This window comes from Homo sapiens, chromosome 2, assembly GCF_000001405.40.
Source record: "Homo sapiens chromosome 2, GRCh38.p14 Primary Assembly".
In the NCBI taxonomy this organism is placed as follows: Eukaryota; Metazoa; Chordata; class Mammalia; order Primates; family Hominidae; genus Homo; species Homo sapiens.
This window is the reverse complement of record NC_000002.12, coordinates 30,748,849-30,772,771: the sequence shown is the minus strand read 5'-3', so window position 1 is coordinate 30,772,771 and position 23,923 is coordinate 30,748,849. Positions and strand designations below refer to the sequence as shown.

General features: G+C 49.7%; 1 protein-coding gene across 9 annotated transcripts in view, besides 1 other annotated feature; it reads left to right on the top strand.

The window, feature by feature from the left end:
* Positions 1-23,923, top strand: part of CAPN13 (calpain 13) — an 84,676-nt gene that overhangs the window by 34,675 nt on the left and 26,078 nt on the right. For all 9 annotated transcript variants that reach the window (XR_939741.4, XR_939742.3, NM_144575.3 and 6 more), the window contains 7 exons: positions 2,323-2,459; positions 8,466-8,640; positions 9,616-9,690; positions 14,635-14,726; positions 18,408-18,482; positions 19,574-19,719; positions 21,521-21,669. Coding sequence is in view for 7 of the 9 variants with exons in the window: in NM_144575.3 (NP_653176.2) it covers positions 2,323-2,459; positions 8,466-8,640; positions 9,616-9,690; positions 14,635-14,726; positions 18,408-18,482; positions 19,574-19,719; positions 21,521-21,669 (849 nt within the window). In the remaining 2 variants the exon portion in view is untranslated. The remainder of the gene's footprint in view (positions 1-2,322; positions 2,460-8,465; positions 8,641-9,615; positions 9,691-14,634; positions 14,727-18,407; positions 18,483-19,573; positions 19,720-21,520; positions 21,670-23,923) is intronic.
* Positions 6,893-7,393: an enhancer, noted in NCBI's record as "H3K4me1 hESC enhancer chr2:30988245-30988745 (GRCh37/hg19 assembly coordinates)". NCBI's record gives its function as "activates a minimal SCP1, AML or CMV promoter by ChIP-STARR-seq in naive H9 embryonic stem cells {active_cell/tissue: H9 hESC(naive)}" and the evidence as "EXISTENCE:reporter gene assay evidence [ECO:0000049][PMID:30033119]".

Here is a 23,923-nt window from a genome sequence, read left to right as displayed (position 1 = left end):
AATTAATCTTGTCTGGGAATTCAGTGATATTTTTCAATCTGAAGACCTATATCCTTCTAGTCAACTAAGTTTCCCTCTGTTATTTCTGGGCCCCTCCTTTATCCTGCTCTTGCCTCCTTATATTCAACTATTTGCATATTAGGTCTTCTGTCAGGCAGGTGATGCTAGTGCTGCTGGTTCAAGGACCACACCAGGGAGTGAGCTAGAGGATCCAGGATTGAGCTGTGTCTGGGCTTGTCCCAGGGTGCCAGCATTGGTGGAGCTACTTAGGTGGTTAGGACAACTCAAGGCCCAGGCAGGACTCGCTTTGCCCTTTTGGGTGGTGAATAAAGTCACACAGTTCCCCAGAAGCGGCTGCAGTGCACTAAGCTCTGTAGATTTCCTCTCATTGCTGGGAGCCTGGGTACTGCTTTCCAAAAGTTACCCAGTGCCCAGGTCACCTCAGATGCTTTGCCTAAAACACTCTGGTTTCCCTGTCAGACAACTGGGTGTTGGCAAAATGGCCTCCAGCATTGTTCTTGGAAGGTACAGACATGATCCAAATGCCAGCCCTCCCCACCCAGAGGCATGAACCAGGAAATGCAGGTGGTGGCCTCATTCTTGACCACCAATCAGGCCTTTTGCATCCTCTCTGAGAGTGGCAAACTTATCTGATGTCCCCTTTGTATAGGGAGAGCAAGTTTGGTCAGCATTACTGGTGTGGGAAGATAGGGCGAAGAGTTATTTTTAAGATGAACTAACCAGAGAAGCTCATTCGAGCCGGGACTTACTCATTCTTAATGTCCTACTGTGTGCCAGGCATTGTCCTAGGTGCTGAACCAAACGGCCACTGACAAAGAGTCTCTACTCTCATAACTACAATCTTGTTTTCATAATCTCACCTTTTGTGATCTCATCTAATCCTAATCACAACCTATGAGGCAGTTCCTACTCTTACTGCCATTTGACAGATGAGAAAACTGAGTCCCAGAGAGTTATCTTGTTCAACATCTGTTGCTAAAGTAATAAGAGGCAAGACCAGCATTCAACTACAGTTCCACCAGCTGACTGCTGTCTACTATATGCTGCCACCCAATTAAGCACAAAATCCAGGTTGTCCTTTTGGTACTCCCTTCTGGGGACTGGGATTAGCTTCCCTCGGTGCTTCGGATGCATTTTGTAATCACCCTCCTAAAACCATCCCTGTTGCCTCTCAACCTCACTGCCGACACATCTTGCTGCTCACTGCAATAGGAACACAAGTCCACAGCTGTGCAGAACCTGCCACAGTGCACTGGCTCATTAGCAGCTATTAAAACATCTTTGCTTTGTCTCCACTGACATATCTGTCTCAATCTCCATCTCTGCTCTGAAATTGCATCCTCGGCTGGATGCAACAGCCTGACATCTGGGACATCCAGATGTGGAAAAGGCCACGTGGATAAGCGATCCCATCCACCCAGCTTTCCATGGAGTCCACCCAGTGGAAATTTGCCTTTGCCAAAGCTCAGGGCTGAAGCTGGAAGCCCTGCTGCTTCTCGTACACAGGGGAGGCCAGCAAAGAGAATCCAAAAAGCTGGATTTGTTATGAATTTTCCTCATTTGGCCATGTCCCCGGTGAACTATATAGAGTTGAATGCTAAAGATTCAAACAGTCTGTTTTGGAGAGGAACATCCGGTTCATCTGCGCTCTTAGCAGTAGCGATGCCAGCCAGTATCCTTTCTGCTGCTATAATGGCAGGGCCAGCTTGATGGAAGAAGAGGGGGGCCAGAGGGAGGCTGTCACTGCTCGGTCCTCCTGAGCCATCCATGTCATCTGTCTCCAGGCCTTTGCCCACAGTGTGCCTCCTGTCTGGGATACCTTCCCTGTCTCCCTGCCACGTGCTTAAATCCTGCCTCTTCCTTCAAGCCCTCAGCTCCTGCAGGCTCTGCCTCTCTCATGCTAGCCCTGCCCCCACCACTCTCCTCTGTTGGTAGCATTGCTTCCCTATTGCCATTTTGTGCACAAGAAGTACCTGGAGAGTTTCACTTGTGTCACTGAAGCTCACAAAGGACTTGCCAAAGAGAGGCAACGCTGAGGAGCAAAGTGAAGCTAGAACCCAAGTCTGCTTCTTCCCTGACTATATCTTCCTGGACTAAGTTGGTCTGTGACTCATTTTCTCCATCTGCCGGTTGAGATGACATGCCTGTCTCCTGCCTGGCAACCTGGGCTGGGATTTTGTTCGGAATAGAGTTCATTATTGCATTGTAGAGGTCATGTTGCAACTTTTGGCTTAGGTTGGGGGACCCAGGAGCTCCCTTCTGCCTCAACTCTGTCAAAGCATATGCTTGGCTCTCTTCCAGTTCTGGCAATGTGGCCAGTGGGTGGAAGTGGTGATTGATGACCGCCTACCTGTCCAGGGAGATAAATGCCTCTTTGTGCGTCCTCGCCACCAAAACCAAGAGTTCTGGCCCTGCCTGCTGGAGAAGGCCTATGCCAAGTAAGTACAACCCCGCCACCCATCAGCCCAGAGTTTCAGTGCTGGTCCTGCCTACCCGGAATGCAAACAGTCCCTGTTGGAGCATTGCAGCCTTTGCCACCTGGCTGGGCATCTCCATAAACAATCACCACGTGCAAAGGTCCATGTTGGGGCCATCAGGAGAGTCCCACAGGCACATAGTGAAGAGTGGGCAGGGTAGGGGCTGGACAGAGATATGCACTGACAATGATATTATTGCAAGGCTGGTATCAGGGCCCAAAGAAATATATTTAATAATATCACGGTCAAAGTCCGATGAGAGCGCGGAGGAGTGAACAATTCTGACTCTGACTCACAGAAAGTCAGGCTGAGGCTGTGTGGAGGTGGTGGCATTTGAGTGAGGCCTCAAAGGATGGGCAGGATTTCAGCAAGGGGAGAGGGGATAGGTGGGAGGAGGCATCTCCAAAAATGGGAGTGATTCAAATAAAGACATCATCAGGGGTGGTCCAGGCAGTTGGGCACCCGGTGTGGCTGCTACGAGGTGGCATTTATGTGTGGGGGTGGGGCAGGACATGCTTATTCTCATATGGTCAAAATACCATAACTTAGGAACTGCCTTTAGGTGCTGACAAGCTTAAGAACTTATAAACATCCCAATTCACATGTCGTACTTAGATTCTTTGGGTTGCTTTTATTCAGCAGATGTTTATTGAGCATTTAACCATATGCCAGGCACTGTGCTTGGCACTGGGACAGATGCTCTCAGACTGACTCAAGTGGTTGTGTGCAGGACTGTGGATGGGGGGTTGCACGTGTGTGTGTGAGGAAGAGGGCACTGTCCTAAACACCCACACAGGTGATGAAGATACACTCAAACTTTCCATAATCAATACAATGGAAACACGAAGAGTAATGACACATCCGTCTCCTCCTATGAGACTGCAAAAGCTGGAGAATGCCAAGTGCTCGCCAGCATGTGGGGATCCAGGACCCTCCAACAGCACGGGAGGGAGTGTGCACCCAGGCAGCCTTCTGAAGGACAACCCGACAATACTTAGCTTGGCTACACACACTTCTCACACCCAATAGGGACATTCCTGGGGGCCCCTAAGGGGACACATCTGAGGATGTTCTTGACTGCCACAAGGGTGGTATGGAGTGTCCATCACTGAGGTCAGTGGGTACAATGGGTGGGTACACTTCATGGAGAGCCACGCAGCAGTCAGAAGCCACAGATCCCATCTGTGCACTGTGACTGGGACAGTCCTTAGAGACAGGGTCCTTGAGGCCCCCTAGAAGTGTCCTTAGTGGGTGTGAGACGTGCGTGTAGCCAAGATAAGTATTGTCAGGTTGTCCTTCAGAGGCTGCCTGTGTGCACACTCCCTCCTGTGCTATTTGGGGGTTCCTGGATCCCCACATCCTGGCAAACACTTGGCATTCTCCAGCTTTCTAGCTTTTGCAAATGAGGTAAGAGGCACTGAGCAATCCCATGCACAGTTATTTATGGAAATGGAAACTCTGTGCCCAGCAATTCTCATTTCACAAGAACGCATACAAACAAAAGGTGCACATTCCACATCCTGAAATGCTTGTCTTGGGGTGGAGGAGAAAAAGAATGTGGATAAAAGGAAGGAAGGAAGGAAGGAAGGAAGGAAAAAAGAAAGTTCATGAAATGAAATGAAACAAATTTAAAAAAAGAGCAAGACCTTGCAGTGACGATATTATGAAGGGGGAAGGCGGCACACCTGGAAATAGGACAGGAAGGTATGCAGAGGCCCAGGGGCAGGGACTCTCATGGGGCTGGTCCCCAGGGGCTGGAGCAAGGCTCTGGCGTTGGTTTGGCTGCAGCTGCTGTGGCTTCTGCTCTGCTCTGCTCCTCTCTGTAGCTGGCCCGCTCCTCCTCCTCCCACCCAGTCACCTGTCTTTGCTATGCATCTTCCTCTGCTGCCTCCTCGCTCCACATTTCTCAGGACCCCCACTTCCTCTGAACTCCTCATCAGGCCAACTGGCCTTGTGCCTCTGTCTTTACCTTCTGCTGCTTTCCACCCGATTCCCTGCCCAGTACCTGATTCCAATCCAGAGAGTTGGAGTCTTATTGGTCAAGCCTGGGTCAGGACCCCATCGGCCCAATCAGCCATGACCTGGGTCAAGTGGCTACAAAGGGACAGGATCTGGGGAGGGGACACTTGCCCTCAGAAGGGGCTGTGTGTGAGGCAGGCACCGTGAAGGGGCAAGGGAAGTGCCAGAGCTGGGGATCATTGCTAGCAGATAAAAGCAGAGAGGACCATGCCCTTGAGGAGAAAATGAGTGGAGAGCATCATAGGTCCAGAAAATTCTGAAGATCATCTCTTCTTCAGAGATGAGTCTCCATTTGTGATGAGATGGCAGGTGCACGTAGTTAAGCTGGGCCTGCCAGGTCTTTACTCACCTGGCCAGGGGACATCTTTATCTTTCCCGTCCATTCTGCAGCCTTGCCGAGTGCAGTCCTGGGCCCTAGAGGTGGTGATAGCACCACAGTCCACCCCTGTCCTTCTGGAAGTCACAGTCCAAACAGTGAGGTGCCTCAAGACCTCTTTTTGTGCATTCTTTCTTTTTGAGGCAAACTTGTGAAAAACTAAATTTTTTATTCATTTCTAGTGTCAGAAACAGCTGCTCATTAGCATTTGAGAATGAAGCCCAGATAACAGCCAAGGTTGTTGAACCAATCCACATGTTTGGGAGGTGAATTCACTTATAAGCTTCTTACGAAAACACTGCCATTATCTTTTCAATACGGATTCAGCCCTCATCTCTTCAGGGCCTCGTTTTATCCTTATGTAAAAACGGGGAGACCAGTGGTTCCCTGGGAGAAGTAGAAATCTTGCAGAAGGACATGATGACTTTGACCCCATTTTGTTAACAGATGACCTCAAGCAATCATTCAGCTTGAAAAGAAATAGGAACGTGGACCTGGCATCCGCATTCTACTGCTTAAAGAAATCTGCAGAGGATACAATGTCTCAAACTATTAAAGCTGTTTAAAAGGTCCCCCACCCCTCACTATCCAAAAAAGGAAGCTCTGAAATGCAGGGGTGAATCACATAGAATTATGGGGTTTCAGAGCCAGAGAGGACGTCTGTGAGCCTCAAACCCCACCTTCTTTGAAAGATGAGGAAACTGAGGCTCAGCGAGGTGAAATGGCTGGCCCAAGATCACATGCAGATGAGGATGGGGTGAGCACGATTTTCCCTAGTCGCTATTTCCCATGCCTTCCCACCATCCCTGACGCTGTCAGTCCTACAGGAAAATGACTTGTCTTTTGCTGCTTGTGGAGCTCAGCGTCTGGCACATGAGGACCACAGCCCAAATGTAGAGAGCCCATCTGTCCAGATGGAGAGGGACCTCTTCCCTCCAAGGGTGCAGGCAACAGCCCAGTGAACACATGGACTCTAAACTTTCTATTCTCCTTGCAGCTGGGGAGTCTGGAAATTAATTGGTCAAGTCAAATGAAAACCATATTTAGGGTTTTGTTTTCCCCAGAGGTCATGAAATAGAGAGGAGATTGAGGGACGAGAGCTGGTAGGCTGCTTCCCATCCTTTATGGGATCTCTACAGCATTTCAGCATCTTCTCTGGCTCTATCTGAATTCTTTCCTCTTTCATATGATTGCCGGGCAGAAAGACATTTTCCCCAAATGAGGCTGAAGCAGAGGGATGGGGACAAGGCTGTCTCAGAATTCCTGGGTCAGGTGACGAGGAATAGTGGTGGCTGCGGTGAACACAGTTCTCTCTCTCTCTCCTTTCTACTTCCTGTCAGCAAAGGGGGCTAAGAATAGTTGCCATGTTCCTGAACATCAGCAGGATCCGTGAGCTCATGTTTAGAAAGCAGAAAGATAGCTCCTTGTCAAAACACCCAGCTGCTGCTGGGACAGGTTTCATGGGCGTTGTGGATACGTAGTAAGAGAAGACTTCAGAAGACACCAAAGGGCTCTAGCCGTGAGTGGCAGGGAGTGCCTTTGGTTGTCTTGGGTGACTCCGAGGTGACTGCCGGATGCTGTGGGTGCAGGACGTCAGGTGGGGCCCACAGGCAGTGAGACAGTGAAGTGACAGAGGGGCCAGGCCCCACCGCGGCTTTTCTGGAGTGCTGTTCTTTAGCACAGCCCTGTTTGAAGCCAGGAAAGGCGCCCTGAGCGTATCACCAGAAAGGGGCTGTTGCAAAGAGCAGGAGGTAGCACTGGTGGGGAATGGGTTCCCAAACCCCAGTCCTTGTGAATTTCCAGCACCCTCAGCCACTCCCTGGTAACTGGAACAGGAGCCAGAACCCACATGGGACAGCAAGGGAGTCCAGAGCTCAGCCCCAACCGGGCACGCTCACCACCAAAGAAGGCTCTACAGTTAACTGAGCAAATGCTCCAGAGAGAAAAATCTAGACCCTGGGTCAGAGAGAGGGAGAGCAGGAGGATAAGGTTTAGAACCAGTTTTAAAACAAGTCAAGATTAATCTGTCACATGGGGGCTCCTGTAGAGATGCCCCTTCGTTCTGGGAATCCTCAGCTTTCTTTAATAAAAGGCTTTCTAAGCCATTCCTTCTAAGCATTCGTGCCCGGGGCAGAGTCCTGCTGATAGTGACTGCTTGATACGATACGCATTTGCTGAAGTGAATCTACTGGAATTCTGTGTGATCCCCAGGAAGAGAGAATGTCAGAGGTGGAAACAGTGAGAAAGGAGTGTTGAGGACTGATCCAGTCCACCCTGCAGCTTCCAGATGAAAGGCCAAGGGCAGGGAGGGGAAGGGTCTTGTCCAGTGTGGAAGACCCAGTTGGAGGGAGCAGCAGGATAGACCCAGGTCCTGATCATGTGTGATTTTGCATTACCAGAACAAAAGCTGCAGCCAGGACTTCCTCCACTGCCTTCTACCCTGTGAAGGGCTCTGCCTCTGCCTGCTCACCGGGGACAGGAACGTGTAGGTCCCTGGCGAGAAGCCCAAGCAACAGAGGCAGCAGTGAGTGTGGCTCCTGCTGGGTGGCTTTGATGCCAGGGTCTCCTGCCTGATCTGACCTCAGTTCCATATCCTCTGTGAGCTTGCCCTGCCTAAATTTCAAGATTCCATGGAACGCTTCCAATTCACCCCATGGATGGGAGCTGAAGTTCTCAAAACAAATCTAACTGTCCGGCCCCTGCATGAGAGGTTCCTTTGTGACTGATCAGGCCACCCTCTCTCCTGGGGAACATTAGGCCTCTTGGGTCTGGCCCTGCCCATCTCCCAGAAACAGAAATGCCATGGGTCGGGGTGGAGGTGGGGTGGCAGGAAGAGATGCTTTGGAGAAGGGGGTGAGGGTTTTAAGCTTTTGGGGTATGTTATGTAAGACTCATCCTTACCTATGTTACCTTCAGTTAAGCCAGTGATCTCCCTAATGATCTGGGGGCGAGTGGGTAACTCTGGGAATGGGAATTCTGGATCAGGGTTTGCAGAGTAAGAACAGTGGCTCCCAATGTCCACTGCCAGCATCAGGGTATGGCTATGAGCTCTTAGAGGGCAGGAATGGGGTTTTTAAACATATGCCTCTCATAGTCCCTCGCCCACAGTCAGTACTTCACACTGCTGTTAAACTGAATGGGAAGCAGGAGTTACTCAACATAATAATATCCAGGACTCATTAAGGGATGGTCACGTGCCGGGCACTATGTGGAACATAGCCCCATGAAGCTCATTAATGTGCCCAAGGTCAAGCAGCCAAATACGTGGCAAAGGTGGGGTTCAACCTGTGCCTCCAGCACAGGCACTCCCAGCCTCTCGTCAGTGCTGCCACTTATGGGACTGTGCAGGCCTGGGGGACCAGGGCAGGAAGGTACAGAGGATGGTAGGAGCCCCTGGAGCTGCAGACAGTGCTAGAATCTCCATCCAGGCAAAGGGGAGGTGGGTGGCCATGATCAGGAGTGGACCAGGCAGCCCCTTACCTGGGAAATAGGCAGAGGATCAGTGCACAAGCTCCCCTCCCAGAGCATCTCACCAAAGGCACCACGATGGTTCATCCCCCATTCCCTCCCAGGCTGCTCGGATCCTATTCCGATCTGCACTATGGCTTCCTCGAGGATGCCCTGGTGGACCTCACAGGAGGCGTGATCACCAACATCCATCTGCACTCTTCCCCTGTGGACCTGGTGAAGGCAGTGAAGACAGCGACCAAGGCAGGCTCCCTGATAACCTGTGCCACTCCAAGTGGGGTAAGTCACTGGGGAGCCCTTTTGCACCAGTTCAAGCTTTCCTCAGCCAGGAATGCTCAGCCAGGGGTCCATTCAGCTAAGGAGGATGTGGCAAGCTGCCACCATTAACGAACACTGATAGCGTGCTTTACCCGGGTCACCCCATTGAACCCTGCAGTAGCCTGCCTCTAAGACATAAATTGCAGAATTCACTTCACAGAAGAAAAGGCGGGCTCAGAGAGGCTACCTAAGGTGCTCACCAACACACAGCTCATAAGTGGCTCGACAAGTCTTCCAATGCTGCTGCGCCAGAGCCTGGACCTACTGCTACAGCTCCCAAGCAACCAGTGGGCTTTACCATGCACTGGTGAACGCAGCTTCAGCTCCTTTGTATTTTGCCTTAAGTTTACACGGAGCCCCCCAGGGCCCTCTGATGCTCACTGGCTCTAATGGCAGCACCCAAGGGCAGCATGACCCATTTTGAAAAGCTTGGGTGACCCTCCAAATTATTTGAGTCTGTTCTGAGACATCTGGTTTCTATCCATGGGGATGCTTCCTTCATCTTGAAACATGTGGGCTTTGAGTCACACATTGCTAATCCAAAATGCCACCAGAAGCCCAAGATGCAGTTTAAACTCCAGTTACTCCCAATGTGGGGGTCAAGTGATTCCTGACTCCTGTGAATGTCCCAGCAGACATATTTGTGCCGTGTCTCACTGATGACATGTGGTTGGTGGAGAGAGTAACCCAGGCCCTCGGGACTCCACGGGGTTCTATCACTCATGGGGGTGGTGCCCTGAGGCATGAAATCCCTGGGGCCTCAGACACCCAATGGCCTTCCAACTCTGCTGCTCTAGAAAAGAGTTCCAGGCCATATACCAGTCCCAAGTGAGTCAGTGAGGCCCAGATGGCTCAGTGGCTGTTTGGACTGTGTTTTTCTATTTCTTTGAAGAACCTGTAGATGTCTAATGTTTGATCTGCTTTTCTGCCTTGAAGCCAACAGATACAGCACAGGCGATGGAGAATGGGCTGGTGAGTCTCCATGCCTACACTGTGACTGGGGCTGAGCAGGTAAGGCTGGCTGCTGGCCTGTCCAGCTCTCCCCTGGCCTCTGCCCCAGTGTTCTTGTTCCTCTCAATAGGGGCCAGAATCACATGAAAGCCCAAGAAAGATGAAATGAGGATATATCGCCCTTGCCTCTGTGGTGACATGCACCATGGACAGCCTCAGCTCCTTCTGTTCAACCAGAAGTTCTGACTCCCAGTGTCCTCCTTTCTGAGAACCCACCAGAGATGTTGCTGTCCTGTTGCTGATCTCAGACAGCTCTGACTGTCTATCTAGACTGGGAGATTAGCCCCAAAGGAGGTAGAATGAACTACCCAGTTGACTCCAGGGAGGAAGTTTTGCCCTGAAAGGGGTTTTATTTGTTACATGCAAGCTAAATTGTTGTAACAAAGACACTCCAAAATATAGGGTCTTAAGACAAGGTTCATTTCTCTCTCAGGTAAGCAGGTGATGCCAGGACTAGTAGGTGGCTCTGCCATCCTCGACATGGAGCTTCCATCCATGTGCCCAAGACAGCTGCTCTGATCCCTCATCTCCCAGCCAGGGGAGAGAAAGAGGCCAGGAGACACTCATACGTCCATATAGAAGGCATGAATTGGAAGAGGCATGCATCATTTCTCTCACATCCCATTAGTCTAAGCTTAATTATATGACCACACCAAGGCCAAGGGAGGCTGGGACATACACTGTCTAGCTGGGCCCCATATGCCCAGATAAAACTTTATTCTCATGGAAGAGGAGGAGGCTGGCACTGTAGGACAATCGTGCTCCTCAGTGGAAGAACTGACTTTGGCTGGACAAAAATGTATGTGATCACTGGCCTGGAAAATACTACTGAAGCACAACCTTCTCCGTTCATAAAGGAAGAAGCTGAGACCTGATAGGAGAGATGTCTTTCACGAGGTTAGATAGATAGCATCTGAGAGACAGCTGGCCTGGACACTCTGTCTCTTTAGTGTCCGTCTACATTTGTCACCACACTTGCGGTGACAGCACTTCCTGGCTATGGGATGGTTTCCTGCAAGTGTTCCCTGATCTCTGTATTTCCCACAACACTTGAGGTCTAATAATGTCTTCTAAGCCCTGAGAGACCAAGTTCCAAACTCTAGGGCACATAATTTCTCCCAGGACTTTATGGACCAAGGACTGCAGAGCATCAGGCTCTATGTGTGGCTTTCTCATACTTGCCTGGCCTCTCCTCCTTTCCCACATGTCCTTCCTCTCTCTACCCATCTGTCTCTCTTGTCCATGGACCTGAGGCCAGTTGTTCCATTGTTTCATGGTTTGATCGGTGTCCCAATCACAAAACCAAGACAGTATCTCCAATCTCTAATGAATGCTTTTTGGACGATAGGTAATTGTCCAAAATTGACCTCAGCACTTCCAGATTCATGGAAAGAGAGCTGTTATCAATTAGTAATACCTGTTTGGGGCATGAGATGAGGAAGTCAGGTGCCTTTGCAATGTATTTGCCATTCTTGGACAAGATCCTTTTTATACATTGAGATAGCCTTTGTTTCTCCTCTGAACACAGGGGAGAAGGGATTCGTGTACCCAGAGGTCCAGATGACCTTGGAGCATGAGTCCCCGCAGAGGCTGGCTGTGGAGATGGCAGTGACTGCTGGGTTGCAGAGCAGCTATGTGAACACCTAGGGTGACAAAGGGGAGCTCGGGAGTCCAAGTGTGGGCTCAGCTGCCGTTTGGGCTCCTGATCATGACACCCACAGCTCGAACATTTGTGCCCCCATAGTGTACACTTGGAGTTGTTTCAATAATATACCGAGTGGTCTAAACAGAGCACCTCCCCTGGGAAGACAGGTGATCAAGACCGCATGTCCCGTGTAATCCATCCCTGCTCCACCATTCCATGTAGCTGACACTTCCCAGAATGTGTTCTAAGAAGCACTAGCCTCTATGAAAATGGGTTTCCAAATACATTTGGAAAAGCAACTCACTATATCCCCTCCTTGGAGATTCAGAGTGTACATTCACATTTTAAGGACTCCAAGCGGCCTGTATGAACAGTGCAAGCACTGCTGGTTTTTATTGTACCATTAGCCACAAAACCATTTTTGCTAGGAATAACTGTTAATGGCCAGTGGAACTGGCATTCGGGATAATTCATTTGAGGAAGTACTACTGCAGGGTAGATAACTCGGGCCACCTCCTGCCCAGTAGCACCTTTTCTGAGCACTGAGCAGGGTCAGAGGCAGAGTCAGAGGCCAGGGAGTGAAGAAGCATGTGGCTGGCCCATTCTCAGGTGTAGCCATGGCCTTGGCCTCGCGTGTGACCCCTGCTCCCCCAGACCAAGGCCCATGCGAGCGCCAATAGGTCACTGTCATAAAGGAGGGACACAAGGGCTCACGAACTTGACTTGGTTAAAGATTCCTCCTCCAGAGAGAGGCAGTTCTAACTCTGAACCACAAGTGCTAAGATTAAACCAGCCCATAAATGTGGCGCGCTTTTTAATCTGCTCATCCTCCCTCTAGGCGGGACACAGACAGGAAGATAAATGAAATCGGCATTTTTTATTATGCACCTAGCTCAGTCGGCGATTCCCCTGGGCATAGGGGTGAGTGTTTATCTGCATGCCTCGTTTAGCCCTGCTTTCAGCCCCTTTGAATCGCAGGCTGCTTTTCTCCCCACCATGCCCACTGGAGCCCCTGAGTATCTGTGAGGCACTGACGGTGGCTCATTAAGCTGTTTGGGACACCAAGTGACCATTGCTTGTGTCCCTGCTCCATGGGCTCTGTCAGGTGCTGGCAGTTAACAATAAACTGCGTATCCATCCTGGCTAACACGGTGAAACCCCGTCTCTACTAAAAATACAAAAGATTAGCCGGGCATTAGGCGGGTACCTGCCTGTGGTCCCAGCTACTCGGGAGGCTGAGGCAGGAGGACGGCATGAACCCGGGAGGCGGAGCTTGCAGTGAGCCGAGATCGTGCCACTGCACTCCAGCCTGGGCGACCCAGCAAGACTCCATCTCAAAAAAAATCACAACAATAATAAATGGCGTGCAAGGCCTGGGGTGCCTTAGGGTAGGGCAGACAGGGGTGGAAAACCTGGGTTCGTGCCTCTTGGAGGCATTGCAAGTCAGAGCCCCTTCTGCTGAGGTACTGGCCAGGGAGCGGGGCAGGCAAGGGAAGCAACAGAAAAGAGCCTTATCCGAGCCAGGCTCCTGGGCCCATGTGTGACTGTGCGGCTCCTGCACAGCAATGCCCCACTGCTGAGCATGGGAATTGACCAGGTGGCTCAAGGGTCACAGTCGAGGCCAAGGTCACAGCCACATCCAAGAACGAACCTTTACTCATGCCTAATTCCAAAACTAGGAGCCCGGACTTTAGATACTCACCGTGGCTGGATTGGAATTCTGCCTCCGCCGCTGTCTCAGCGGTATTGAGAAAGTTGCTCAGCTTCTCTAGTGCCGTTTCCTTAGCGCACATCAGCCCGCACCTAGCTCTGAGCCCTGCGTCCACCTGCGGCTTGTCTTCCACACAGCGATAGTCTATTCTATTCAGACTTGTCCTTCTCCTCTGACCAAGAATCATGGAGCAAGTTCGCCCCTTTCCTCACCCCTCTGGGCCTCTGTCTCCTCAGACAACATTAGCACAGATTGATATCACAGCTACAGCTCAGTCATATTTTAATTCCTCTCGCCATGCTGAGGGCTGCCGGCTCCCGGGGATGCAGATTCAAGGGTTGGCTGCTGTGTTGTTGTCACTTTCCCACAGTCCTGCCCTCTGGCTTAAGCGGTGTGAGGGAGCAAAGGGGTAGACCTCCTTATCTGAAGTGCACGACTATGAGTTACCCCAGACAGGGGGCAGGAAGAAAAGAAAGGAAGGAGGAAAGGAGGGAGGGAGAGAAGAGGGAAGGCAGGGGGTAAAGAAGGAAGGGAGGGATGGAAGGAGGAGAAAAACGAGGGAGGGAGGAAAAAAGGAAGGGGAAGAGGGAGGAAGGAAGAGACAGAGGAAGAAAGGGAGGGAGGGATGAAGGGAGGCAGAGAGGAAGGGAGGGAGGAGGGAGGGAGGGAGGGAAGGAAGGAAGGAGGGAGGGAGGGAAGGAAGAATAGGAGCAGGGAAGGGAAAAGGATAGGGGCAAGGGGGGAAGAAAGGAAAGAAACAGAAGGAAGGAGGGAAGAAAGGGAGGGAGGGAGGAAAAGGAAGGAAAGAAAGAAGGGAAGACGAGAGGGAGTAAGGGAAAGGAGGGTAGGAAGGGACTGAAGGATGGAGGGAGGGAGAAAGGGAAAGAAGGAAGGGAGGAAGGAAGGGAGGAAGGGAAGGGAGGGAGGAAGGAAAGGAAAGGGAGGGAGGGAGGAAGGAAAGGAAAGAGAGGGAGGGAGGGAAGTTCAGGATATTGTTGGCCATATTCTCTCAGACCAAGGTGTCTCATCAGCTCCGGGATGCAGGACGAGGAGGGCTAGCCTTGGCTATCTTGGTTCACAGGCCATCTCAGTCTTGCTCAAATCTGCCTCCTCTACCCTCCTCACTCACGACAGTGCTGTTGAGACTGCACCATAGCTCCCACTGGGCTGCCGGCAGAGAATCAGGCTGCGTCTGTGGAACAGATGCCATCCATGACAGGGCTTGGAGGAGGCTGGGGAACCATAAAATTCTCTGCAGCCCGAAGCAACATCCCCTGCTGTTTATCTGCTATTAAATCTCAACTCACTCAGGTTCTGGGATTCAGTCTTAGGGAATGATGAAGTTGCATCTGCCCTTGCAAGGGGCTGAGCGGAATGAGGGGCCATTTCCTTGTCTATCTCATTCCAACGCCATGCAGGCAGTAGAGAGACATTGATTTTTTTTTCCCTTTCAATTTTTTTTCTGGCTGCAGCCAAATGAGGTCAGAAGTTAAATTGGTCCTTGGAGGTAAAAAGCAGCTGCATTCATCCCCCTTTCTGCTGACTTTTGCTGTAGAGCACTGAGTTTCCTTTTCTGTTTTCTTTACAGATTCAATACCGAAGGGGCTGGGAAGAAATTATCTCCCTGTGGAACCCCTGGGGCTGGGGCGAGGCCGAATGGAGAGGGCGCTGGAGTGATGGGTATGGCTTCTGGAAACCTCTCTCCATCCTTCACAGAGCGCTTGGTGTCGGTAGAGCCTCCTGCCCATGAGAGCAGGGGCTATCTAGCCACTGCGCATCTCACTGCAGGCCTGTCCAGCTCACACCTACACGTGGCTATCGGTCCATCTCACGCTCCTGTGATGCCATCCGCCAAGCAACTATGGGGCACCTACTGTGTACACCCTGTACTAACTGCACTGTGTTAAGTGGGTGTTGTGAGGTATATATGGATGACAAGACCCAGTGCCCACCCTCCAGAAGGTTACAGTCTACAGCAGGGAATCCACATTCCTAGAATTAGTAAAAGTGGCGGGAGGCAAGGCAGGCAGGAGCCAAGCCCCGACTTGCCAAGACACAGATGGAGAGAAGGAACTGCATCCCTTGGAGGGACCCATGGGATTCTGATCCTGAGCATGTCACATCATCAGGGTGGAAAAGGTGTCCTAACTGGGGGCAGTTGGGGAAACTGATGCAAAGATCTGGATGATGTTTTTGTCCAATCTACTCAGCTCACCAGTCTTGCCCTACTGCTCTGGATGCCCATGAGTACTCGGCGCCTGGGATATAAATGAAAAGCTGTGCCTGCCCACACTTAGATCAGGAGGGACAGGAGCTAAGATGTCCCATGGGGGCCCAGCTGTGTGGTCAGTGCTTTCCCCAGGGAACTGGGCTGGCATTTCCCAGCTGCCAGAGGGGTGGACCCCTAGGCCCCCAGCCCCTTGCTGACTATGAAAGAGACAGTAGTCCTGAGAGGACAGAGGGGCCGCAACAGGTTACTTGCTCCTCTGGGCAGCCAGTGAGGCTCAGCCTGGTCGCATTCCTCCAGGGTCTGTGTCCATCCGTGAAAAATGTCGTGACACAGCAGCTGCTGCATCATCGCCCGTGGGGCTGGGGGTGGGGAACATGATCTGAAAGGAAGTGCAATCCATTTGGAACAGGAACGAGCCCAGCACACAGTGAAATCAATACAGTGAGGACGGTGCTTTCTGGAAGGTGAATGCAGAGCCAGCCAGTTCTAGGCCTGATGCCCCAGGCTAAGCTGTGGCAGGACCGCTCCGATCCCCCATGACCTTGGCACCCCTGGGCACTCAGCCAGTGTGGGATGAAAGTATGATTGGGATGGAGGGCGAGGTAAGCGGAGATGGAATAAGGGATGAAACAGCACAGTGAATTCCTAGAATAAACCTAACTGTGACCTTAGATGCCCCTGCGAGAATCGGGCAGCCGAACCCCCTCCCTGCCCCCGTTTCTCCTCTCTCACCTCTATTCTTTCTTCCTTCCCAGGTGTATCCTTTGCCCTTTCCAATACAAATCCTAATAACCTCTGGCCTTTTCCAGTTCTCCTTCCCAGTCATTACTCCAAGTTGCCAAATATGTCCCAGAGGGTGACAGGATCAGCCAGCACCCCTGATTTGAGGCTGCCTCTTGGGATAGAAGTAGAGGGAAGGCAAATGACAATGACAGATTCCCTGGGGTAGGAGAAGAGGCAATATATTCACAATTGATAATTTGCCCGTGTTTCCCATGCTAAATATCAAATGACCAGTGAAGGCAACAGGGGACACCAGGATTTGGGGAAGAGAAGCTTCCCGTGGGCTGGCATGTTCAGGGAAAGCTTCATGGATGGGACTGAACTTGAGTTGGCCTTGTGGCAGAGGAAGTATGACTCACTTCAGAAGAGATCACTAGATAGGAGGGGGACGCATAGGCTATTGCACCCAGCTGGGAACATTGATAGTCTGTTCCGGGCCAACAAGCCGGCCTGAGGCAGAGGAAACTGGGAGAGAGAGTGCTGGGAGCTGACACAGGACAGCCTGATGCCGGAAGTCTGGATTTATCCCCTGCAGGCATGGGCATAAATGAAGGCTTTTGAACATGGCCGTGATGTTTGCAGAGCAGGGACTGGGGGAGACGGATCTAGCAGAACCTGTTCTGTTGGATCTCGTATTGTACCTTGGCTGACTGCTGAGGGTCGCCACTTTGCACCAGAAACCAGGCTGGAAGGAAGTGACGGGGACTGCATAATCACTGTCTCCAAGCAGGTGGTCGATTTCTTCCCTACTTTTTAGGAATGGAGATGGATGGAGAGCACCGGATGGTCTAATCTCAGCCATAATTAAAATTTCAGTCGCACACACTTAAAGGCAAACTTGCATGAATCAATAGCGTATTGATCTACACTACATTTATTCTCCCTCACACATTGCAGAAAATGTAATTATCACTTAATTATAAAATTGCCATTTTACAATACCACATCTGACTGCCTCAGCCTGCAGCCAGAAGCCTGAGTGGTGGCCCCTGCCTTGCTGTCCTAGCACAGAGGGGACCCAGGCTCCCCATGCAAGCTCATCCAGGAGAAAGGTCTCATTGAGCTTTTGTGCCTCTGAAACCCATTGCTTACAAGCATGCCTCCCCTCTAAGGAGTGGACTGAAGGAGCAGCTGCTCCCTTCTGCTTGTGAGGGTCTCTTCCTCACCAGAGACCCAAGGACTGGCTTCTGGAACACATCGTTCCAACGAAGTGGGCAGCATTAATTAATTAAGCAAACAAAAAATCACTGTATGCTATTAGGCATGCAATTACTTTTGCACCCACCTAATACATGCCAAGGCATGGGCAAAACACCTGTGATGATAGGATGGCCAGCCAGGCTCAGGAATCTCATGGTTCTGGGAGTCTAGTGAGACATAGCAACCAATACACAAAGTAATGGTAACACAGTGGGCTATGGAAGCTCAAAAGACCTGGAATAGAGGGCATTTGGGGGCCAAGCAAGGCTTCCCAGAGGCAATGCCCTTTAAGAGGAAAGATGAGTAAGAGCAGGTTACAGAACTGAGAGGAGGAAGAGGGCGCCAGGTGCAGGGGGAGCATCAGGGTGAAAGTTGGGCTTGGGGGGGTGGTGTTTTAAGGAAATGAAGACACTATTGCTGGAGAGTAGAATTCAAGAGTGGGGGTAAGGTGAGAAAGCAAGAAACTGGTAACATCGGAGAGGGTGGCAGAGGACAAAGTTCTCTTTAAGGAGTGTGAACTTCACCTTAAGAATAATATGGAACCACTGATAGGTTTTAAGTAGGGAAATAATATAATCAAGTTTACATTTTAGAAAGATCATTTCAATGGCAGTGTGGGAACGGATGGGAAAGTGGGCAGAACTGAGTTCAGGGAGACCAGGTGGATATCCAGAGGGAAGGGCAGGGAGCCTGAACTAGGGTAACAGCAGGAAGGATGGAAGTAAGTGCCTGGCTTTGAGAGGGGTGTAAGAGGTAGGATCAATCAATGAATGCTATTTGATGATTGTTTGGATGTGGGGGTGTGAGAGAGGGACTCCTCATGTTCTCGCTCAGGCAATAGGAGGTGGCAGAGGATGGGTACAGTCAGGGACAGGTTGATTTGAGGTCACTATGGGACTCTCTTGGAAATGTGGGGTGAACTACAGCATAAATCCATCTGGACTTCAGGAAAGAAGACCAGGCTGGGGACAGATGTTTGGAAGTCGTCAACAGGTAGAGAATAACTGGGTCCTGTCCTAGGTAGGATGACACTTGCCCTGTGCTCCCCAGGAATGGTGACATGTACAGAGGGTCCCTGTTGACCCACACATGGTTGAGAAAAAATGCACTGGAAAATCTCACCCTGTGGTTTGTGTGTCCATGCTCAGGTCTCAGGAGTGGGAGGAAACCTGTGATCCGCGGAAAAGCCAGCTACATAAGAAACGGGAAGATGGCGAGTTTTGGTATTTACCCTTCTTATACAATGGTGTTTTAAATCTTTTATTGCCCAAGTCTTCAATCCCTACCCTTTTCCCTGAACATTTACGAAGGTGGAAAATAGCTTTGCAGAGACCTGTTTAGAGGGAGCCTATTTTCTCTACCAAGACACAAAAACTTTGGATGAAAAATTATTGTAGGCTCCCTCTTGGTGGGAAAGTTATTTCAGTTATGAAATGCTGAACTTTCCAGGACATTTTAATAGTAAAAGAGAACATTGGCACCAAAGGCTTGAAATCTGTGGTTTCCTGGAAGCTAGGATGCATGGTTGTCATGCCCATATCCTCTGTACCATCTTGCTGGGACCCTCGAGCTCCCCAGTTTCCTCTAGCATGACGTCAAAAACAGCAGCAGGATGCAGACTCTATAGCTCTGGGTGAGACATGGACTTCATCACCCAGAAGTCACACAGGACTAGATGTTTTGAAAACACGTTCTCGGCCATATGCTCACATCTTAGAGCATGACGTGTACATTCCTCAGAGGGTTGTCTGGTTTACGGAGTGATGCATTTCAATGGAAATTAGCATGTGTGGAAAGGAGCATGGATCTAAATAATTAAGAATCAGAGGGACAAATATAAATTAGAAGGAAATCTTTCCCAGTATCTCTGGTTTAATCACAGTAGGAGGTGGGATTTTAGGTGTGGAATCCATTTTAGGCTGATAAAGACCTCAACAATAAATTTGGCAAAACACCCTAGGGGAAAAGCAATTTTCCTAGCAGCTTAGAGGACCCAGAGCAGAGAGAGACTGGCCGTCGTCCCACTGATCATGAAAGGGCTCACCATCGGATCAATGGGTTAAGGAGATGGCAGTAAATGATAAAGCTGCTGCCAGGTGACCGGCAGACCCCAGAACTTGACTGTGTCCTTGCCTTGCCCTCCCAGCCACTGGAGCAGAAGGACTGAAAAGATAGAAGGGTGCTTGATGGTGAATGAGCCAGGATCAGACACTGGCCTCTGGGCAGGACAGTGGCTATGCTGTGAAGTCATAGGAACCCCCACCCTGGGGACACAACCCCTGGTCACTGAGTGATGTATATCTGTTTTTAACAGGATGTCGTGTCAAGATTTCCAACAGAAATTCATCGCCATGTTTATATGTAGCGAAATTCCAATTACCCTGGACCATGGAAACACACTCCACGAAGGATGGTCCCAAATAATGTTTAGGAAGCAAGTGATTCTAGGAAACACTGCAGGTAATCATGACGCTGGTGGTCACACTGCCCAACTGGAAGCTGGCTGCCCCAGCCCAGCCCTTGCATGGCTTCAGCTCTCTCTGGTCCTTGATTCTGGACCATGAGCCTGAAGCTGAAAGGAGGGGAGTTTGTCAGCATGAAGAGACAGCGACTGCTCCTCTAAGTAAAATGATTGCTGTAGGGGCCAAGTTGGAGAATCTCTGATGTGATTCTCCCCTAGCCCTCCATGCTGTGCCAATATCCTTCCACTAACACCCTCCCGCTTCCTGGGAGGAGAGTGGGCTCACCACCCTCCAGTAAATGTCCAGGACAAGGGAGAGCGCTGCAGAAAGAACACAGGAAAAGTGTCAGGGCCTAGGTTGGACCCTTGTCTTTGCCACATACTGGCCTTGTGATGCTGGAAACATAATTGGTCACCCTGTCCTCAGCCTCCCCAAGACTCAGCAGTGGAAATAGTCATACTTGTCTGTCCTTGAGCCTAGAGAGCACTACCTAGACACAAGGGAGACTATCCCTGCCCTGTCTTGGCAGGTATGTCCCTGCTGAAGTCCCACAGGTAGGCGCATCTGAGCCTGTCTTTGAGCTCCCCTGAGATGAATCTTGTTGATCATGGCCTTGGGAAAGTCACATTCCCTCCCTGTCCCTCTCATTCCCTGTTTGTGGCATTGTTGAGTGAAATAGCTCCCTGTGAAGACGAACAAGAGTGTGCTTATATATCTTTGATAAAAGAGGCTGCGTAAACAATGCATTTGTGTGTGTGAGTGTGTTTGTTGTGTGTTTGCACCCAGGGATGCATATGCATCCCTTCCTCTGGGCACCTGCCTGTCGGGATGGTTGGTTTGAATGAGCCCATAACCCAGGGTGTCCCTCTTTTTTACCTCCAGGCTCTAGTGATCTACAGAACTTCTGCCCAGAGAGCCTTGTCACCAGGAGGTCTTGGGCAGAACCTCAAGAGCTGTTGAGTCACTCTTGGGCAGCAAATTTACTGATTCCTCTTCCTGAGCTGCACCTCTCTGATTATAGGGCCAAGGCCCTCTCCCCTGGATACAATGCTTGTCAATGAACTAACAAAACCTTTACATCAGGGCCATTTTTAGTAATACGTTACAATGGAAAAAGAAAAGAGAGCCAGTGATCGAGCACCTGCTATGTGCTGCAGATGCATTTTAATGCACCATCTTCTCCAGTCCTCGCAGCACGTCCATGCTATGATGGTCCTCTACGCCTCCCCACTCCCTTGCAGAGCTCCCCCATTGTCAGTCCAGTCTTCTGATGTGTATCAATTCATCTCTATCTTGACTTATCTTCATTCTTCCATGTATTTGAATCTAATGGTTTTCACATTAGCTCGCTCTCTCTTATTCTGGCTTTGATAAGCATGCTTGGATAGAAGAGTACTGTAATTGCCATCTCACTGCCTGTTTTCCTGTCTCTAGTTGTGCTTGGGTGGTTCATGCCATTTCAAGGCTCTGATGGTTACCACCAATGCATAAGCTCACATGTAGCTGGGAACTCTGGAATTTCACTTATCATTATAAAATAGACTTTGACTTTACAGTTTAAGAAATATTTTTCACACAGTAGGGACTATACAACCTCTCCTGTGTTTAAGAGGAGGAAACCAAGGTTTAGAAAATTAACTTGTTTCTCAAGTAGTAACTGTGGGGATTGGGATCCAGGCCTTAGGTCTCCAATCCAGAGTTCACAACACAACCCCACAGAACTCTCTGCACTGGACATGGCCCTGCCCAGGAGTCCCAGGAGTGGAGCTGAGCTCTAGTAACAGCTCTTTCTGATGCAGGAGGACCTCGGAATGATGCTCAATTCAACTTCTCTGTGCAAGAGCCAATGGAAGGCACCAATGTTGTCGTGTGCGTCACAGTTGCTGTCACACCATCAAATTTGAAAGCAGAAGATGCAAAATTTCCACTCGATTTCCAAGTGATTCTGGTAAGGCAGCCTGCTTCAGGGCTTTCCCTTGTAGAAATTTAGTGTAAACCTTGAGTTGGGGAGAACAGCTCTGGCCAGGCTGGGAGATTTGACTGCACCACAGCCTTGGAGATAAAGCCCAAAGAGGCTGTAGCATTCATGCAGTCCAAGTCTAAATGTGCAAAAAATCTGAGGCCAGAAAGATGACACTCGATCATGATTACAGTGGGACTCACCTCCTGCCCGTGTCGCCTGTCAGCGTTTTCTGGGATGCTGCAGAATCTAATGCTTGCTACTCAAAAAGTGGTCTGGGCCAAGACCAGCTGTTCTAACAAAGCAGATTCTGGGCTTACTCCAGACCTTCTAAATCAGAATGTTTAAGGACAGAGCCTGAAAATCTGCATTTTCATAAGCTCTCCAGAGGCTTATGCACATTAAAGTTTGAGAATCATTGGCTAAACTTTGGAAGTTGCTTAGGAAAAAAATGAGCTGTCTAAACTATTCTGAGTATAAATCCAGGAGGGGAGGTGTGTTTTTCTCTTACGTTTAGACCAAAGTCGAGTCATCGTCTGGTGGCTGGCATGCAAACTTCTGCTTGGCTACCCTGAGGCCAGGTTTCCTTTCCACCTAGGCTCTCTCTCCTTTCATGGTTTTATGAAACTTTTATTTTAGGTTTGGGGGTACATGTGAAGGTTTCTTACATAGGTAAACATGTGTCACAGGGGTTTGTTTTACAGATTATTTCATTACCCAGGTATTAAGCTCAGTACCCAGTAGTCATCTTTTCTGCCCCGCTCCCTCCTCCCACCCTCCCCACTCAAGTAGATCCCAGTGTCTGTTGCTTCCTTCTTTGTGTTCATAAGTTCTTATTATTTAGCTCCCACTTATAAGTGAGGACTTGTGATATTTGCTTTTCTGTTCCTGCATTAGTTTGCTAAGGATAATAGCTTCCAGCTCCATCCATGTTCCCAGAAAAAAACAGCTGTTTTTGTGGCTGCATAATATTTCACAGTATATATGTACCACATTTTCTTTATCCAATCTGTCATTGATGGATGGGCATTTAGGTTGATTCCATGTCTTTGCTATTGTGAACAGTGCTGCAATGCACAGTCACATGCCTGTGTCTTTATGGTAGAATGCTTTATATTCCTTTGGGTATATACCCAGTAATGCGATAGCTGGGGGAATTCATTTTTTTTAAATATCATTTAAAAGAAAAAAGCTACAAAAGAAAATCTGATCTCTCTACTCCCTGCTATTCCTCCAAACAATTCACTGCATCCCCCAAATCAAGTGAAGGTTCTCAAACCATACACCGCACAGCTTCTTTGCACTAACGTGGATAATTAAGATCATGCACACGCTGGGATCCTCTCTCCTCATAATAGAGTTGAAGAGACTGAGGCCCCGAAAAGTGAAGTGACATGGTCAGAGTTAATGGCAGAGCTGAGACTGGCTTCCAGAGGTCCCCCAAACCTTCAGTCAAACACACAAGTCACCTTTCTGAGCACCAGGGATATCAGAGGTCCTTTAACAGACTGGGCTGGAGCTTGAATTACAGGGTCTCTAGGAATGATTTCAGTTTCTGTTGACTGAGCTGAAGGCAAAATTCACAGCCTTGGGTGTCAGTGCATTTATGGACAGACACGGCTCCTGGGTACCCCAGACATGGCTGAACAATCCTATGCATTGGCTGTGGTTTACACTAATAAGAGGGCCTCACAGTGAGAGAATACAGATTGTGTCTCTCTAATCAGAAATGCTTTGGACGAGACGTATTTTGCATTTGAGATTTGGAGGATTTTTGCATTATATACTTACTGATTCAGCATCTCTAGTCCAAAAATTCAAAATCCAAAATGCTCCAATGAGCATTTCCTTTGAGTATCATGTTGGTGTTCAAAAAGTTTTGGATTTTGGAGCATTTGCATTTCAGATATTCAGGTTAAGGATGCTCAACCTGTACTTCAGAAGTACAAGCATGTTCACATTCATTGTCTCAAAAGCACAACTAGCCCCGCTTTTGTAGGTGTGGAAGCTAAAGCTCAGAGAGGAATGACCTATGCAAGGTGCACCTTGGAGGTGACAGGGGTGTTTGATACCAGAACTTAGGGTCTCAGCTCCAGGGCTCTCAGTAGGGCTTAGGTGCATGCCTTTCTGGTGATACTCATGGCTCCAAAAACCACAAAGATTCTGGCTCTAGCAGAAGGAGAGCTTTCGTGTTCTGCTCTCCTTGACCATATTTCCATTTCCCAATTTCAGGAATTCGGTG